Source organism: Homo sapiens, chromosome 4 (assembly GCF_000001405.40).
Source record: "Homo sapiens chromosome 4, GRCh38.p14 Primary Assembly".
In the NCBI taxonomy this organism is placed as follows: domain Eukaryota; kingdom Metazoa; phylum Chordata; class Mammalia; order Primates; family Hominidae; genus Homo; species Homo sapiens.
In genome coordinates, this window is record NC_000004.12 from 133,735,828 (window position 1) to 133,755,534 (window position 19,707).

Here is a 19,707-nt window from a genome sequence, read left to right on the forward strand (position 1 = left end):
TTTGGGCTGAGACAATGGGGTTTTCTAGATATACAATCATGTCGTCTGCAAACAGGGACAATTTGACTTCCTCTTTTCCTAATTGAATACCCTTTATTTCCTTCTCCTGCCTAATTGCCCTGGCCAGAACTTCCAACACTATGTTGAATAGGAGTGGTGAGAGAGGGCATCCCTGTCTTGTGCCATTTTTCAAAGGGAATGCTTCCAGTTTTTGCCCATTCAGTATGATATTGGCTGTGGGTTTGTCATAGATAGCTCTTATTATTTTGAAATACGTCCCATCAATACCTAATTTATTGAGAGTTTTTAGCATGAAGGGTTGTTGAATTTTATCAAAGGCTTTTTCTGCACCTATTGAGATAATCATGTGGTTTTTGTCTTTGGCTCTGTTTATATGCTGGATTACATTTATTGATTTGCATATATTGAACCAGCCTTGCATCCTAGGGATGAAGCCCACTTGATCATGGTGGATAAGCTTTTTGATGTGCTGCTGGATTCAGTTTGCCAGTATTTTATTGAGGATTTTTACATCGATGTTCATCAAGGATATTGGTCTAAAATTCTCTTTTTTGGTTGTGTCTCTGCCCAGCTTTGGTATCAGAATGATGCTGGCCTCATAAAATGAGTTAGGGAGGATTCCCTCTTTTTCTATTGATTGGAATAGTTTCAGAAGGAATGGTACCAGTTCCTCCTTGTACCTCTGGTAGAATTCAGCTATGAATCCATCTGGTCCTCGACTCTTTTTGGTTGGTAAGCTATTGATTACTGCCACAATTTCAGATCCTGTTATTGGTCTATTCAGAGATTCAACTTCTTCCTGGTTTAGTCTTGGGAGTGTGTATGTGTCGAGGAATTTATCCATTTCTTCTAGATTTTCTAGTTTATTTGCGTAGAGGTGTTTGTAGTATTCTTTGATGGTAGTTTGTATTTCTGTGGGATCAGTGGTGATATCCCCTTTATCATTTTTTATTGTGTCTATTTGATTCTTCTCTCTTTTTTTCTTCATTAGTCTTGCTAGCAGTCTATCAATTTTGTTGATCCTTTCAAAAAACCAGCTCCTGGATTCACTAATTTTTTGAAGGGTTTTTTGTGTCTCTATTTCCTTCAGTTCTGCTCTGATTTTAGTTATTTCTTGCCTTCTGCTCGCTTTTGAATGTGTTTGCTCTTGCTTTTCTAGTTCTTTTAATTGTGATGTTAGGGTGTCAATTTTGGATCTTTCCTGCTTTCTCTTGTGGGCATTTAGTGCTATAAATTTCCCTCCACACACTGCTTTGAATGCGTCCCAGAGATTCTGGTATGTTGTGTCTTTGTTCTCGTTGGTTTCAAAGAACATCTTTATTTCTGCCTTCATTTCGTTATGTACCCAGTAGTCATTCAGGAGCAGGTTGTTCAGTTTCCATGTAGTTGAGCGGTTTTAAGTGAGATTCTTAATCCTGAGTTCTAGTTTGATTGCACTGTGGTCTGAGAGATAGTTTGTTATAATCTCTGTTCTTTTACATTTGCTGAGGAGAGCTTTACTTCCAAGTATGTGGTCAATTTTGGAATAGGTGTGGTGTGGTGCTGAAAAAAAATGTATATTCTGGTGATTTGGGGTGGAGAGTTCTGTAGATGTCTATTAGGTCTGCTTGGTGCAGAGCTGAGTTCAATTCCCGGGTATCCTTGTTGACTTTCTGTCTCGTTGATCTGTCTAATGTTGACAGTGGGGTGTTAAAGTCTCCCATTATTAATGTGTGGGAGTCTAAGTCTCTTTGTAGGTCACTCAGGACTTGCTTTATGAATCTGGGTGCTCCTGTATTGGGTGCATATATATTTAGGATAGTTAGCTCTTCTTGTTGAATTGATCCCTTTACCATTATGTAACGGCCTTCTTTGTCTCTTTTGATCTTTGTTGGTTTAAAGTCTGTTTTATCAGAGACTAGGATTGCAACCCCTGCCTTTTTGTGTTTTCCATTTGCTTGGTAGATCTTCCTCCATCCCTTCATTTTGAGCCTATGTGTGTCTCTGCACGTGAGATGGGTTTCCTGAATACAGCACACTGATGGGTCTTGACTCTTTATCCAATTTGTCAGTGTGTGTCTTTTAACTGGAGCATTTAGTCCATTTACATTTAAAGTTAATATTGTTATGTGTGAATTTGATCCTGTCATTGTGATGTTAGCTTGTTATTTTGCTCGTTAGTTGATGCAGTTTCTTCCTAGTCTCGATGGTCTTTACATTTTGGCATGATTTTGCAGCGGCTGGTACTGGTTGTTCCTTTCCATGTGTAGCGTTTCCTTCAGGAGCTCTTTTAGGGCAGGCCTGGTGGTGACAGAAATCTGTCAGCATTTGCTTGTCTGTAAAGTATTTTATTTATCCTTCACTTATGAAGCTTAGTTTGGCTGGATATGAAATTCTGGGTTGAAAATCCTTTTCTTTAAGAATGTTGAATATTGGCCCCCACTCTCTTCTGGCTTGTAGGGTTTCTGCTGAGAGATCCGCTGTTACTCTGATGGGCTTCCCTTTGAGGGTAACCCGACCTTTCTCTCTGGCTGCCCTTAACATTTTTTCCTTCATTTCAACTTTGGTGAATCTGACAATTATGTGTCTTGGAGTTGCTTTTCTTGAGGAGTATCTTTGTGGTGTTCTCTCTATTTCCTGAATCTGAACGTTGGCCTGCCTTGCTAGATTGGGGAAGTTCTCCTGGATAATATGCTGCAGAGTGTTTTCCAACTTGGTTCCATTCTCCCCATCACTTTCAGGTATACCAATCAGACATAGATTTGGTCTTTTCACATAGTCCCATATTTCTTGGAGGCTTTGCTCATTTCTTTTTATTCTTTTTTCTCTAAACTTCCCTTCTCGCTTCATTTCATTCATTTCATCTTCCATTGCTGATACCCTTTTTTCCAGTTGATCACATTGGCTCCTGAGGCTTCTGCATTCTTCACGTAGTTCCTGGGCCTTGGTTTTCAGCTCCATCAGCTCCTTTAAGCACTTCTCTGTATTGGTTATTCTAGTTATACATTCTTCTAAACTTTTTTCAAAGTTTTCAACTTCTTTGCCTTTGGTTTGAATGTCCTCCCGTAGCTCAGAGTAATTTGATCGTCTGAAGCCTTCTTCTCTCAGCTCGTCAAATTCATTCTCCATCCAGCTTTGTTCCGTTGCTGGTGAGGAACTGCGTTCCTTTGGAGGAGGAGAGGAGCTCTGCTTTTTAGAGTTTCCAGTTTTTCTGTTCTGTTTTTTCCCCATTTTTGTGGTTTTATCTACTTTTCGTCTTTGATGATGGTGATGTATGGGTTTTTGGTGTGGATGCCCTTTCTGATTGTTAGTTTTCCTTCTAACAGACAGGACCCTCAGCTGCAGGTCTGTTGGAATACCCTGCCGTGTTAGGTGTCAGTGTGCCCCTGCTGGGGGGTGCCTCCCAGTTAGGCTGCTTGGGGGTCAGGGGTCAGGGACCCACTTGAGGAGGCAGTCTGCCCGCTCTCAGATCTCCAGCTGCGTGCTGGGAGAACCACTACTCTCTTCAAAGCTGTCAGACAGGGACATTTAAGTCTGCAGAGGTTACTGCTTTTTGTCTGTGCCCTGCCCCCAGAGGTGGAGCCTACAGAGGCAGGCAGGCCTCCTTGAGCTGTGGTGGGCTCCATCCAGTTGGAGCTTCCTGGCTGCTTTGTTTACCTAAGCAAGCCTGGGCAATGGCGGGCGCCCCTCCCCTAGCCTTGCTGCCGCCTTGCAGTTTGATCTCAGACTGCTGTGCTAGCAATCACCGAGACTCCATGGGCATAGGACCCTCCGAGCCAGGTGCGGGATATAATCTTGTGGTGCGCCGTTTTTTAAGCCAGTCGGAAAAGCGCAGTATTCAGGTGGGAGTGACTCGATTTTCCAGGTGCGTCCGTCACCCCTTTCTTTGACTCGGAAAGGGAACTCCCTGACCCCTTGCTCTTCCCAAGTGAGGCAATGCCTCGCCCTGCTTCGGCTCGCGCACGGTGCGCACACCCACTGACCTGCGCCCACTGTCTGGCACTCCCTAGTGAGATGAACCTGGTACCTCAGATGGAAATGCAGAAATCACCCATCTTCTGCGTCACTTACGCTGGGAGCTGTAGACCCGAGCTGTTCCTATTCGGCCATCTTGGCTCCTCCCCCGGATTTTTTTTTTCACTTACCATGTTTGAAGGTAGGTGACCCAAGGCTGGGACATGTCTTAATATCCCATTCATCTTCTGTCTTTCAGCTACTATAGTCTTAATAGGTGTTTCATAACTGTGAAATGTACATAAAGACAGTTCAGCTATTTCATCCTTTTTTTCTATATGCCACTTAGGAAAAAGAAAAAAAGAAACAACAAGCCAGAAGTGGTGAAAAGCAAAATATTCTCAGAAACCTTAAACTTTTGTTTAGTGGGCCAGAACTGTTTCACTTGGATAACCCTAGTTATCCAAGAAAGTTTGAGAAATTTATCGGATAACCTGGGCATACAGCCAGCTTGGGGGAGAAAAAGGAGCTTTAGTTGGTATGGAAAAGTGAAAGCTGGATTTGGGATTGCATGAGCCATGCATAATGTGGCTTAATAACCTCCAATAAAGACATATTCATGTCCCCATCTTTAATGTCTAATGTCATACCACAATTATGCATAATTTTATGCATAGCTACTAATTATAATGTCATAAGGCAGATGTGCAAATCCTTTCTTCTTTGATGTTGTCTAAGAAGTATAACATTTTATCGGTGCTGATGATCAACTCCATATTTTTCATCCATTTCTTAAGAAGTATTTTTGGAAGCATAATTTGGATCTTGGTGCTCAAGTTTCAGATACAAGCAGGTTAATATCTGGTTACTAGACAGTTATTGGGTAACCACTTAAAATATACATTTTTAAATGTATTAGGATGGAATGTGTCCACACATCTGTGGGCACATAGAAGAATATAAGGAAAAATGTAGAAATGCTCCTGGTGAAACAAATGAAGACATTTTTTTTCCCAGCCATGTGGTGTAGCTAATTTAAAGTTTGGAATAAAAAATAAACTGCAAATTGTTTGATATTTCTGAAAAACTCAATGCAATCCAAATGGAAGGGAGAGGAAAGGGTTATTAGTCTTCCAGAAGGTTGATGGGACTTGTAAGGAGGAATTTTGAATTAAATTATAAATACTAGTTATGTTAAATGTGAGTTGCTTTTAGGTGTTTGGATATATGGGAATGGAAAACAGCAGATGTCTGACTGAAAAATCAGCATGGGTTGTTGATGCCATGGGGGTGAACTTACTGACAGGAGATTATAGGTAGAAAGAAAAGACAAGAAGAAATTAAAACTATGAAGAATAGTCACGGAAGGGACCTGGGAATGAGTCAGTTTGATAATAAGAGCAACAACCAAAACAATTAATATTTATTGGTTGCTTATTTTGGTGCCACTCTTTGTGTTAAGAACATTACAGCTATTAGTAATTACAATGATTTTTGTAAACATATATTTTTTCAAATTTCAGTTTATGTTTAGGGGTACATATACAGGATTGTTATATAGGTAAATTGCATGCCACAGGGGTTTGGTGTACAGATTATTTTGCTACCCAGGTAATAAGCATAGTACCCAACAGGGAGTTTCTTTTAATCTTCACCCTCCTCCTAACCTTCACCCTGAAGTAGGCCCCTATTGTTCTCTATTTTGTGTCCATATGTACTCAATGTATACCTCCCACTTATACATGAGAACGTGTGATATTTGGTTTTCTGTTCCTGTGTTACTTTGCTTAGAATAATGTCCTCTAGCTCCATCCATGTTGCTGCAAGGAACATGATATTATTCTTTTTTTATGTCTGCATATTATTCCATGATGTATATGTACCACATTTTTAAAAATCTGGCCAGTCTTTTGATGGGCATTTAGGATGTTTTCATGTCTCTGCTATTGTGAATAGTGCTGCAGAGAACATATGTGTGCATGTGTCTTTATGCACATGTCTTTATTGTAGAACGACTTGTATTCCTTTGGGTATATATCAGAGGGCAGAATTGCTTGGTTGAATGGTAATTCTGCTTTGAGATCTTTGAGAAATCACTAAAATGCTTTCCACAACAGCTGAAATAATTTACACTCCCCTCAGCAGTATTGTGTTCACTTTCCTCTACAAACTCACCAGCATCTGTTATTTTTCGATTTTTTAAAATAGCCATTCTGACAGGTGTGAGATTGTATCTCACTGCGGTTTTCATTTGCATTTCTCTGATGATTAGTGATGATGAGCATATTTTTATTTGTTTCTCAGTCACATGTATGTCTTCTTTTGAAAAGTTTCTGTTCATGTCCTTTGCCCTCTTTTTAATGTGGTTGTTTATTTATGTGTGTTGATTTAAGTTTCTTATAGATTCTCGATATTAGAACTTCATCAGATGCATAGTTTGTAAATATTTTCTCTCATTCTGTAGATTGTCTGTTTACTTTGTTGATAGTTTCTTTGGCTGTGCAGAAGCTCTTTAGTTAAATAAGTTTATATTTCTCAATTTTTGTTTTGGTTACAATTACTTTTGGGTTCTTCATCATGAAATAATTCTCAGTTCTATGTCTCAAATGTTATTTTCTAGGTTATCTTTCAGGGTTTCTATAGTTTGAGGTTGTACATTTAAGTCTTTAATCCATCTCAAGTTCATTTTTATCTATGGTTTAAGGGAGGCATCCCATTCCAATCTTCTTCATAGTTAGCCAGTTATCCCATCACGATTTATTGAATAGGGAGTCATTTCTACGTTGCTTGTTTTTTGTCAACTTTGTTGAAGATCAGTTAGTTGTAGGTGTGTGGCATTATTTCTGGACTCTCTATTCTGTTATATTGGTCTATATGTCTGTTTTTGTACCATGCCATGCTGTGTTGATTATTGTAACCTTTTAGTATAGTTTGAAGTTGGGTAATGTGATGCCTCCAGCTTTGTTCTTTTTGCTTAGGATTGTCTTAGCTATTTGAGCTCTTTTTTGGTTTAACCTGAATTTTAAAATATTTTTTCTAGTTCTGTGAAGAATGTCCTTAGTAGTTTCATAGGAATAGCATGGAATCTGTAAACTGCTTTGGATAGTATGACCATTTTAAAAATATTGATTCTCCTTATCCATCAGCATAGGATGTTTTTATATTTGTTTGTGTCATCTCTGATTTCTATGAGCAGTGTTTTGTAATTCTCATTGTAGAGGTCTTTCACTTCATTGGTTAGCCATGTTTTCTAGATATTTTATTATTTTTGCGGCTATTGTGAATGGTATTGCATTCTTGATTTGGCTGTCAGTTTGGATGCTGTTGGTGTATAGGAATACTACTGATTTTTGTATATGGATTGTGTATCCTGAAACTTGGCTGAAGTTGTCTATCAGATCAAGGAGATTTTGGGCAGAGACTAAGGGGTTATCTAGGTATAGAATCCTATTGTTCACAAACAGGAATAGTTTGATTACATCTCTTCCTATGTAGATGCCTTTTATTTCTTTCTATTACCTGATTGCTCTGGCCAGGACTTCCAGTACTATGCTAAATAGAAGTGGTGAGAGAAAGCATCCTTATCTTGTACTGGTGTATTACTTCATTCTCGCATTGCTACAAGGAATAACTGAGACTCAGTAATTTGTTAAGAAAAAAGGGGTAATTGACTCACAGTTCCACAGGCTGGATAGGAAGCATGGCTAGGGAGGCCTCAGAAAACACAATAATGACAGCAGGTGTAGGGGAAGTAGGCACATCTTCACATGGAGGAGCAGGAGAGAGAGAGAGAGAGAGCACAGAGGGAGGTGCTACAGACTTTTAAACAAACAGATTTTGTGAGAACTCTATCTCAAGACAGCACTAGGGAGATGGTGCTAAACCATTAGAAACCACCCCCATTAGAAACCACCCCCATGATCAAATCACCTCTCCCCAGGCCCCATCTCCAACATTGGGGATTATAATTCAATGTAAGATTTGGGTGGGGACAAAGAGCCAAACCATATCAACCAGTTTTCAAGGGGAATGCTTACAGCTTTTGCCCATTCAGTAGAATACATATAATTTTAGAACTGATGAGCAAGACATAGGCTGGGATCGGTGACTTGCATCTGTAATCCCAGCACTTTGGGAGGCCAAGGCAGGTGAATTGCTTGAGGTCAGGAGTTCAAGACCAGCCTGAGCAACATGGTGAAACCCCGTCACTACTAAAAATACAAAAATTAGCCAGGCATCATGGTCCATACCTGTAATACCAGTTTCTTAGGAGGCTGAGGCAGGAGAATTGCTTGAACCCAGGAGGTGGAGTTTGCAGTGAGCCAAGATTGTGCCACTGAACTCCAGCCTGAGCAACAGAGTGAGATGGAAAAACAAACAAACAAAAAAAACAGATGAGCAACAAGTAATGCCATAATGCTTGAATGATGTTCAGTAAGTGAGTGGTCTTTAATAATGTACCTAATCAGCAATGACAAATATTAAACAAAAACAAAGAAGGTTAAGAATGAAATGTGCTGTATTTCTTCACATTTAAATGGAAAGCACATGATTTTATAAAATTGCATGATAATATTATTCCTAAATTGAAAAAGCCAACAATATTTTTTCTTTGCTGCTTTATTTTATTTATCTTAATGCTCATAAAATTAAGGTTAGAAGAGACATTTCTCAAATTTCTAGAATGTTATTTATCCATTTCACCTGCCATTTTTTTCCTTAGTGTAAATATGAATTTTTAAACTATTTGATTGAGATTTGCAAAGAACCCTTGGCACATAAGGACTACCACCAAATCCCTGAACTAAGAGACTTGACTAACCCCACTATGGTATCTAGTAGCCTAATGTGGAATACCTGAAACATCTCAAATCAAGTTCCTTTCTGAGATAGCTCAGGGCTGCCAAAAGGATTTACTGATTGCTCTAGGCCAACATCTGAGGACAGATCATTACTTCCATCTTCTAGAGCACTTAGCAACAACTTCTTACACTTGTGAATCCTTCTTCTGTCTCTTTGAGATTTATGTTTATCTCTTACAACTCAGGAATGTCTTTCTCAAGGACCTGAAACCCATACCTTGGAAATGCAGTCATCAGTAAGGACACGGCCTCTGTCTCCCAGTCACCCTGAGAGGATAGAATCTTAACCTCTACGATTCCCATCTACCAGATGCAACTAGCCTATTCACACTCACAGCAATCAGCACTTTGTTATTTTTCACTTCTCTTATTCTATGTGAGTCCTCAGTCACTCTTCCTCTTTACTCTCTCATTCTTCCTTTAAAACACCCATGCAGTCACCTCTGCACAAATTAGGTTGGAGCTCAGCTCTTTCCCTTTCTGTGTGTAGTTATTGAATAAAGTGATTTCACCACTTTAAGTAGTATCTGGCTTTATTTATCTTTGACAAGCAAACTTACAAGTGCATCAAGTTTTGAGTGTTGTTAGAATGGTTTTACAATCAAGTAGGCAAAACCGAATAGCTTTTGGAAGTCCTGAGGCAGTTTTCTACTCACTGACAGAAGGCATTATTTTCAAATCTTAGCAAACATCATTCACATAACTTTGACTCTGTAGTTGAACAAGTTTAAATTATTTATGTAGAAGACTAAGGGGAGATTGAAATTATGTGATTTAATACTATTAAGAAATGTATTGATTTGAACCAGCCTTGCATCCTAGGGATGAAGCTGACTTGATCATGGCAGGTAAATTTTTTGATGTGCTGCTACATTTGGTTTGCCAGTATTTTGTTGAGGATTTTTGCATCAATGTTCGTCAGGGATGTTGGCCTGAAGTTATCTTTTTTCGTTGTTTCTCTTTCCAGTTTTGGTATCAGGATGATGCTTTGTTCATAAAATGAGTTAGGGAGGAGTCCCTCCTTTTCTGTTGTTTGGAATAGTTTCAGAAGCAATGGTATCAGCTCCTCTTCGTATTTCTGGTAGAATTCAGCTCTGAATTTGTCTGGTGCTGGGCTATTTTTTGTTGGTAGGCTATTAATGACTGCCTCAATTTCAGAACTCGTTATTTGTCTATTCATGGATTTGACTTCTTCTTGGTTTAGTCTTGGTAGGTGTAATCCATCACATAAACAGAAGCAAAGACAAAAACCACATGATTATCTCAATAGATGCAGGAAAGGCCTTTGATAAAATTCAAAATCCCTTAATGTTAAAAACTCTCAATAAACTAGGTATTGATGGAACATATCTCAAAATAATAATAGCTATTTCTGACAAACCCACGGCCAATATCATATTGAATGGACAAAAGCTGGAAGCATTCCCTTTGAAAACTGGGACAAGACAAGGATGCCCTCTCTCACCACTCCTATTCAACATATATTGGAAGTTCTGGCCAGGGCAATCAGGCAAGAGAAAAAAATAAATAGTATTCAAATAGAAAGAGAGGAAGTCAAATAGTCTTTGCAGACAACATGATTTTATATTTAGAAAACCTCATCGTCTCAGGTCAAAATTCCTTAAATGGGTGAGCAACTTCAGCAAAGTCTCAGGATACAAAATCAATGTGCAAAAATCACAAGCATTCCTTTACACCAACAATAGACAAGCAGAGAGCCAAATCATGAATGAACCCCCATTCACAATCACTACAAAGAGAATAAAATGCCTAGGAACACAGCTAACATGAGATGTGAAGGACCTCTTCGAGGAGAACCAAATGCACTGCTCAAGGAAATAAGTGGACAACAACAAATGGAAAAACATTTCATCCTCATGGATGGGAAGAATCAATATCATGAAAATGGCCATACTGCCCAAAGTAATTTATAGAGTCAGCGCTATTCCCATCAAACTACCATTGACATTCTTCACAGAATGAGAAAAAAAAAACTATTCTAAATTTCATATGGAATCAAAGAAGACCCCATAGAGCCAAGACATTCCTAAGCAAAAAGAGCAAAGCTGGAGGCATCACGCTACCTGACTTTGAACTGCACTACAAGGCTACAGTAACCAAAACAGCATGGTACTGGTATCAAAACAGGCATATAGACCAATGGAACAGACTACAACCATCTGATCTTCGAAAAACCTGACAAAAACAAGCAATGGGAAAAGGATCTCCTATTCAGTAAATGGTGCTGGGAAAACTGGCTAGCCATATGCAGAAAACTGAAACTGGATCCCTTCTTTACACCTTATACTATAATTAAATCAGAATGGATTAAAGACTTCAATGTAAAACCCAAAACCATGAAAACCCTAAAATAAAACCTAGGCAACACCATTCAGGACATAGGCATGGGCAAAGCCTTCATGACAAAAACACCAAAAGCAATTGCAACAAAAGCCAAAATTGACAAATGGGATCTAATTAAACTAAAGAGCTTCTGCACAGGAAAATGAACTATCATCAGAGTGAACCGGAAGCCTACAGAATGGGAGAAAATGTTTACAATCTATAAAGGTCTAGTATCCAGGATTTACAACGAAGTTAAATTAACAAGAAAAAAAAAAACAACCTCATCAAAAAGTGGGCAAAGTATATGGACAGACTTCTCAAAAGAAAACATTTATGTGGCCAACTAACAAATGAAAAAAAGCTCAACATCACTGATCATCAGAGAAATGCAAATCAAAACCACAATTAGATACCATCTCACACTAGTTAGAATTGCAATTATTAAAAAGTCAGGAAACAATAGACGCTGGCAAGGCTGTGGAAAAATAGGAACACTTTGAGACTGTTGGTGGAAATGTAAATTAGTTCAACCATTGTGGAAGACAGTATAGCAATTCCTCAAGGATCTTACCCAGAAATACTATTTGACCCAGCAATCCCATTTCTGTGTATATACCCAAAGGAATATAAATCATTCTACTATAAAGACACATGCACACGTATGTTTATTGCAGCACTATTCACAATAGCAAAAACATGGAACCAACCCAAATGACCATCAATGATAGACTGGATAAAGAAAATGTGATACATATACACCATGGAATACTATGCAGCCATAAAAAGGATTAAGATTTTGTCTTCTGCAGGAATATAGATGAAACTGGAAGCCGTCATCTTTTTTTTTGAGTCTTTTTTTTAGTTTACTTTATGTTCTAGCGTACGTGTGCACAATGTGCAGGTTTGTTACATATGTATACATGTGTCATGTTGGTGTGCTGCACCCGTCAACTCATCATTTACATTAGGTGTATCTCCTAATGCTATCCCTCGCCCCTCTCCCCATGCCCCCGCAGGCCCCCATGTGTGATGTTCCTCACCCTGTGTCCATGTGTTCTCATTGTTCAATTCCCACCTATGAGTGAGAACATGTGGTGTTTGGTTTTCTGTCCTTGCAATAGTTTGCTCAGAATGATGGTTTCCAGGAAAGCCATCATCTTCAACAACCTAACACAGGAACAGAAAACCAAACACCACATGTTCTCACTCATAAGTGGGAGTTTAACAATGAGAACACATGGACACAGAGAGGGGAATAACACACACCAGGGCTTGTTGCGGGGCAGGGGGTAAGGGGAGGGAACTTAGAGGACAGGTCAATGGGTGCAGCAAACCACCTAGGCACACATATACCTATGTAACAAACCTGCATTTCTGCACATGTGTCCCATTTTTTAGAAGAAATAATTAATCTAAAATTAAAAAAAACTTTTATTTTGTTTTAAAAAAGAAATGTATAAATAAAATTAGTAGATGTTTAACAGTAGAGACTTAAAAGTAAACGTGAAAGTTTTTTTATTCAAGAAGGCAAAAAGAACAAAAGTATTCATGTAGTTTATGCAATTTCTTTAAATTATGGTAAAGAAAGAGGGCAGAGCAGCTGAGATCACAGCTTAACTTATTACCTAAGAGCATAGCATCAAAATAGGGAGCGAATCGGTTCCAGAGAGCTTTGGAGAATTGAGTGTAACGATGTTGAGATGTGGGCTGAAGAGGAACAAGTAAACCTGATATACCTAAACCAACTCTTATTTTACCTATGGCACAGAACACTAGCAGTTAACTATGTAACCCTGGACCCCAAACAGGCAAATAAATAACCATTTGGCAAAATTAAAAACAAAACAACATAAAAAATTATTTTCTAATATTGAAAAAAATGGCAGTCAACTGAGAATTCTAATGTTAGCATTGGCCCTTTCTCTTTGTGGTGTTTAAACATCACCAGCACAGTGGCAGATTGCTTTTTCATTTGTCCTAAGGTGAAGTTGGATATTTCATATATTCCGCACATGTACACACAGCTCCACATTATATTTTTAGAATTATATTATGTTCTTACATATGAATGACAAAGCACAAATTCCAAAATTTCTATGTAAAAATGAGATACAAAGACTAAGAAAAATATACAGAAAAATCACCCATGGAGAAGAAATAGTCAAAGATGATAAGAGAATAAAATTAAATAAACAAATCAAAACAGGAGGTGAAAAAAGTCTTCTACTAAATATGATAAAAAGTAAATATAATAAATAAGAAAAAAATGCATATATATAACAATTTAGTGAAATAAGGTACAAGAAAGAACACTAAAATATTAAATATATATTGAAAATCAAAAGCAAAATACTTGAAAGTAATAAAAAAGACAAGTATGAAAACAAATGGCATGAAATGAAAATCCTTGTCCCTCATGTCTGGGAATGAAGGAAGGGCAAGAAACTCTCTTATTCGTTGGAACTAGGAGTTTGGGTTAAATGAAAAAGTAAATCATCTTAGCTTTCTAAAAAGTCACATATATAAAAATATATTTATTCTGCTATATTTTGTTATAGGGCCAAGCTTCTTCTCCCTATTTTGAGTGCAAATATTGATCACTTTTTCTTTATAAAACATACCTATGTCATACTTTTTGCAATTTTCATTTTCAGTTTTTTTAAAGTGAAGTGAGAATTCAGAGACTCTTGTAAAAATATACTAAATGCAGTATATTTTTAACGTTTCTGATCCTTTGTAGTTGTGTCACCCACATCTATTCACCAGCAAGTATTTTTAGTGCCTTAGCTTTTTCAAGGCTTTTTAAAACATCTTTAGTTTTCATAAATACAATAGCATTTCTCATTCATGTTCAGTATATTTTATGAAGAAAAGAGACAGCAAATGAGTCAAAACAAATGCTATTTAAAATAGTGTCTAATGTTCAAACTTATTTATATCATTATATATTTGTCTATGCACATATTTTAGTAAAGTTAAAGTTAATGCAATATTTCCAAGAAAAAAAAACTATGCCTGATTGTATGCTTTTATCTTATGTTACATGGAAAACATTGATCTCTCTTTACTTGCTGTGACAAAGATTTTGTTCTCTCACTTTATTGCCTTGATATTGTTTATCTGATTTTTTTTGGTACTTGGTCCAATTTCTGAAGAGCCATTAAGCTTAGATATCTATGACTATTCTTTAATAAATTTCAGGGAGCAATAAAGATTTTAAAGAGCCTATATAAATGTGTACTATATATATACATATATACACACACACACACATATATATATATCATTATATAAAGACAATGAGATGAATCTGAACCTAATTTCATTTTCTTTTACTTAAAATTTAGAAGATTTGGTAATTGTGTTCAACATAGATCCTGTGATATATGGGCAGACTTATATGTCTTTTTAAATGACCTTTTTTTCCACTAAATCACCCATGTAAAATTGCTGCTTAATTTTTCTACTTTTCTTTCTTTCATGTGAAGTTTGGTGACTTATTTTCATATAAAAATGTATTCTTTCTAATAATTTGAACGTAGGTGCCTTATCATGAGTAAGAACATGATGTGACAATATAATAATTAAGAATGCTGGACACATGTGGTGGTTTATGCCTGTAATCCCAGAACTTTGGGCAGGAGCATTGATCAAGTCCAGGAGTTTGAGGCCAGACTGAGCAATGTAGTGAGACTCTGTTTGTACAAATAGTAGTAATAATAAAATAACCAGGCATGGTGGCACATGCCTATAGTCACACCTGCTCAAGAGGCTGAGGTGAGAGGATTTCTTGAACCCAAGAGGCTGTGGCTTCAATGAGCTATGATTGCACCCCTGCACTCTAGCCTGGGTGACAAAGTGAGACCCCATGTGTTAAAAAAATGAAAATAATTTCTTTAAGCCATATAATACATTTCAGGTAACAATAGAGCTTGATATAAATACATAGCCTTACTATAAATTATCATCAGAAAATAATATCAATTTATTATCTTGTATCAGTGAAGACACTGAATGGATATCAAACGGCTAAAGATAAAAAGAACTGAACAATAATATTGTAAACTATTATTATAGTAAGTAAATTGTTTCTCACAGAGATGTGGTTTAGAAGTTTGGAAACAATTGTTTTTGTATACTATGGTTGAACAAATAAGTAAATATGTTGTAGGTCATTTGAGCTAGGTTTCTTGATGAGATAGAAGAAAGTTACTGCAGACTGAGTAACTACTACTCATGGATGGTAATATTGTTGAGAAAAGTTTAAGCAGAACTAGAACATTTGAATTATCTCAAAGTATCTTCTCCCAAATATTTACTAATTACAAAGGGAAAAATAATAATTTCACCATAGTGAATCAACTTTAATCAGATGATCAAGGTCAAGACCTCTAGCAATACCTGTAAATATCAAATACCTTCTGAATAAGGAGGGCACAGTACTTTTGTTTTACTTTTCCCAATAGTGAACACCTCCATTCTGATCATGAAAGAAAAAATATACAACCCCAAATTTAAAGACATTTTATATAAAAAATTAATGACAAGTATTCTTCAGAAGTGCAAAGGTCATAAAAGACAAGAGAAGACTGAGTTATGATCACAGAATGAAGGAAACTAAGAATACAATAAATGTGATGTAGCATACCAGACTGGATCCTCAAACAGCAAAATCACAGTGGAAAGAACGGGCTAAATCCAAACAAGGTCTATATTATAGTTAAAAGTATCGTGACAAAGTTAATTTCTTAGTTTTGATAAATCTCCTATGGTTATGTAACATTTTAACAGAAGAAAAAGCTGAGTAAATGGTACATGAAAATTCTGTGCCATTTTTGCAAGTAGTTATAAATATAAAATTATCACACACATACACATACTAAACATTGAGAGTGTTCTGTATGAAACTGTAGCTGTAGCCATACATCTTTATAACTTAGTCACAACCCATACAATTATCCACCAAAATGTCTAAATTTTATTGTATATAATATTTTTTCAACAAATCAACCAGGACATAGGTGTGCAGACTGATTTGAGGCTATGACAGGTGAATTTAACTATACTAGAAATGTATTACATAAACAAACTGAAGGGGATAGAAAAGAAAAGAGCTGACCTAAGTCAGCTTCATTAAATGTTTGGTGGAAATTGACAGTGAAACTATATAACCCTTGAGTTTTTCTTTTACAGAAAAGTTAGAAACTAGAAAGTCAATTTATTTAATAGGTATAGAGTTATTAAAATTATATATATTATTTTGAGTCAGTTTTATTAGTTTGTGTCTTTTAAGAAATTGGTCTATTTCAGGGGTCCCCAACCCCTGGGCCATGGACTGGTACTGACTGGTCTGTGGTCTGTTAGGAACCAGGCTGCAGAGCAGGAGGTGAGCAAGCATTACAGCCTGAGCTTCAACTCCTGTCAGATCAGTGGTGGCATTAGATTCTCATAGGAGCATGGATCCTGTTGTGAACTGCACATGTGAAGGATCTAGTTTGCATGGTTCTTATGAAAAGCTAATGCCTGATGATCTGAGGAGAAACAGTTTAATCCTTAAACCATCTCCCCACATCTCTCCACCCCCGTCTGTGGAAAAATTGTCTTCCATGAAACCCATCCCTAGTGCCAAAAAGGTTGGGGACTGCTGGTCTTTTCATCCTCATTTTGAACTTATAGTAATATAGTTATTCATGACATTCCCTTATTATTATTTTACCTCTGTGGAGTCTGTGGTGATATCCCTTCTTTTGTATCTGATATTGGTAATTTGTGTCTTCAATTTTTTAATTTTTTGCCACTCTGGCTAGACTTTTCTCAATTTGAATAATACTTTTAAAGAATGGGCTATTGGTTGCATTAGTGTTCTTTATCATTGTTGTGTTTTAAATTTTATTGATTTCAACTTTTATTATATTCATTATTCTACTTGCTTTGGATTTACTTGTATTCTCCTAGTGTTTTAAAATGGAATCTTAGATTATCATTTGAGAACTTTTATTGTTTCTATTATAGCATTTAACATCATAAATTTCCTTCTTAGAACTGCTTTAGCTGCATATCCTAAATTTGGACCGTTTGTGTTTTTAAAAATATCTATGTTGTGTTTTCATTTCTATTCAGTATATTTTTAAAAATTTCCCTTGGGACTTTATCTTTGATTCATGAGGTTTTTAGAAGTTTGTTGCTTAATTTTTAAATATTTGGGAATTTTCCAGTTATCTATTACTGAATTCCAATGTTTTTCAGGTCTTTCATATCCTTACTGTTTTTATATTTATTTGTGCTAAAAATTACTTGGAGGACTGTTTGGGGCTCCAACTAAAATTCTGTATTTATCTATTTCTATTTTCAATTTCATTAGTTTTTGCCTCATGTACTTTCAGGCTCCGTTTTTAGGTACATACATATTTAGGACATTAACAACTTTTTGAAAAATTGACTCTTTTTTCATTATGCATAATAATATTCTTTATTCATAATAATATTTATTCATAATAATATTTCTTGTTTTTAAGTCTAATTTTTCGATAGTAGTATAAATATGCCAACTTTCTTTTGGTTAGTGTTTGCAAGAAATATTTTCTCATCTTTTTACTTCTAGCCACTCTATGTTATTATATTAAAGTGGGTTTCTTGTAGACATATACACTTGAAACTTCTTTTCCTATGTAATTTTTTAAACCTATGTTTTTAACTGTTCTGTTTAGACCACTTACATTTCAAATGATTATTGCTATGACTGAATTATAATGCAACCTCTTGTTAGCTATTTTTAACTTTTTCTCTCATACTTATTTTTATCATTCTACCTTCTCATGTGTAAATGGAAGATTTTTATAATTCCGCTTTATCTAATTTATTGGCTAATTATTTAAATTATTTAATTTAAAAAATCTTATTTTAGTGGTTTTACTAGAGTTTATAATATACACCTCCAATCAATGCCAACATTCAAATATGTTGTCTTAGGTTCTTCTGTGCTGCTATAGTATAATACCAGAAACTGAGTAATTTATAAAGGACATACATGTGTTTCTTATGGTTCTGGAGGCTGGGAAGTCTAAGTTCAAGTCTAAGACACTAGCAGATTCACTGTCTGGTGAAGGCTGCTATCTGCTTTAGGTTGGCACTTCTTACTGTGGCCTCACATGTTGGAAGGAGTTAAAAGGAATTATAAGGTCATTAATCCCATTCATGAGGATTCTGCCCTCATGACTTAATGATGTCTTCAAGGCCCCGCCTCTTAATACTATCACATTAGTGATTAACTTTCAACTTAAGAGTGTTAGGGAACATGTTCAGAACATAGCATTCTACCCCCGCCTCCCCAGATTCATGTTCTTACATCACATGCAGAGTACATTAATTCAATCTCAATAGCCCCAAAGTTTTAATTCATTCCTGCATTCATTTTAAAGTCTAAGTTCAAAAATGTCATCTGAGCATCATCTAAAGTATATATGGGTAAGATTCAAAGTATGATTAATTCTGAGGCAAATTGCTCTCCACCTGTGAACTGTGAAACCAAACAAGTTACGTGTTTCCAAAATACAATGGTGGGACAGGCATAGGGTGGGCATTCCCGTTCCAAAAGGGAAAACTAGGAAAGAATAAAGGGGTAACATCTCCCAAGTAAGTCTAAAACCCAAAGCAAACATTAAATCTTGAGGCATAAAAGTAATCTTTCACTCTATGTCCTGCCTTCTGGACACACTGGAGGTTGGGGATGGGCCCCTAAGGCTCTGGGCAACCCCAGCCTCAGTTTCAGTTTCTCACTCCTACTTCTAATAATATTACTGTCATTCATTTTCACTTAACCATATGCTATAATCAATGACTTCATTGTTACAGTAATTATTTAGAACAAGAGGTTTTTTTTAAATCAATTAAGAATACAAAAATAAAATATTGTATTTTACTTTAACTTATTCCTTCTTTGACACTTTCTCTTTCTTTATGTAGACCTAAGTTACAGATCTATAAAATTTTCCTTTCTTCTAAAGAGCTTCTTTAATATTTATTGTGGGGCAAACCTCCTGGCAAAAATGTCTTTCAGTTTTTGTTTATCTGAGAGTCTTTAGGCCTATTTCATTTTTGAAGAACAATTTATTTTACTCTAGGATTCCAGGTATTTTTTGGAACACTTTAGATATCTCAAATTGTGCTCTTCTTGCTCTAAAGTTTCTGATATTGAGCCCAATATAATTATTATTCTTGTTCTTCTGTTGGAAAGGTATCCCGCTTACCCTGGTTCTTTTTAACCAGGTTTGTCTTTGTCTTTAGCTTGCTGCATTCTGAATATGTTACACCTAGGTAGAAATGCTTTGTAATTATTATATTTGGTATTATCTGAACTTCTTGGATCTGTGATTTGGTGTCTGTAATTAGTTTTTAAAAATTCTTGGCCATTATTATTAATACTTCAAATATTTTTCATCAAGGTTCTTTATTTTTTTTCTCTCTGATGTTCCAATTACATGCATGCTCTGCCTTTTGAAATTGTCCTACTGTTCTTGGATACTATTTTTTTATTTGTTTTTTGCAT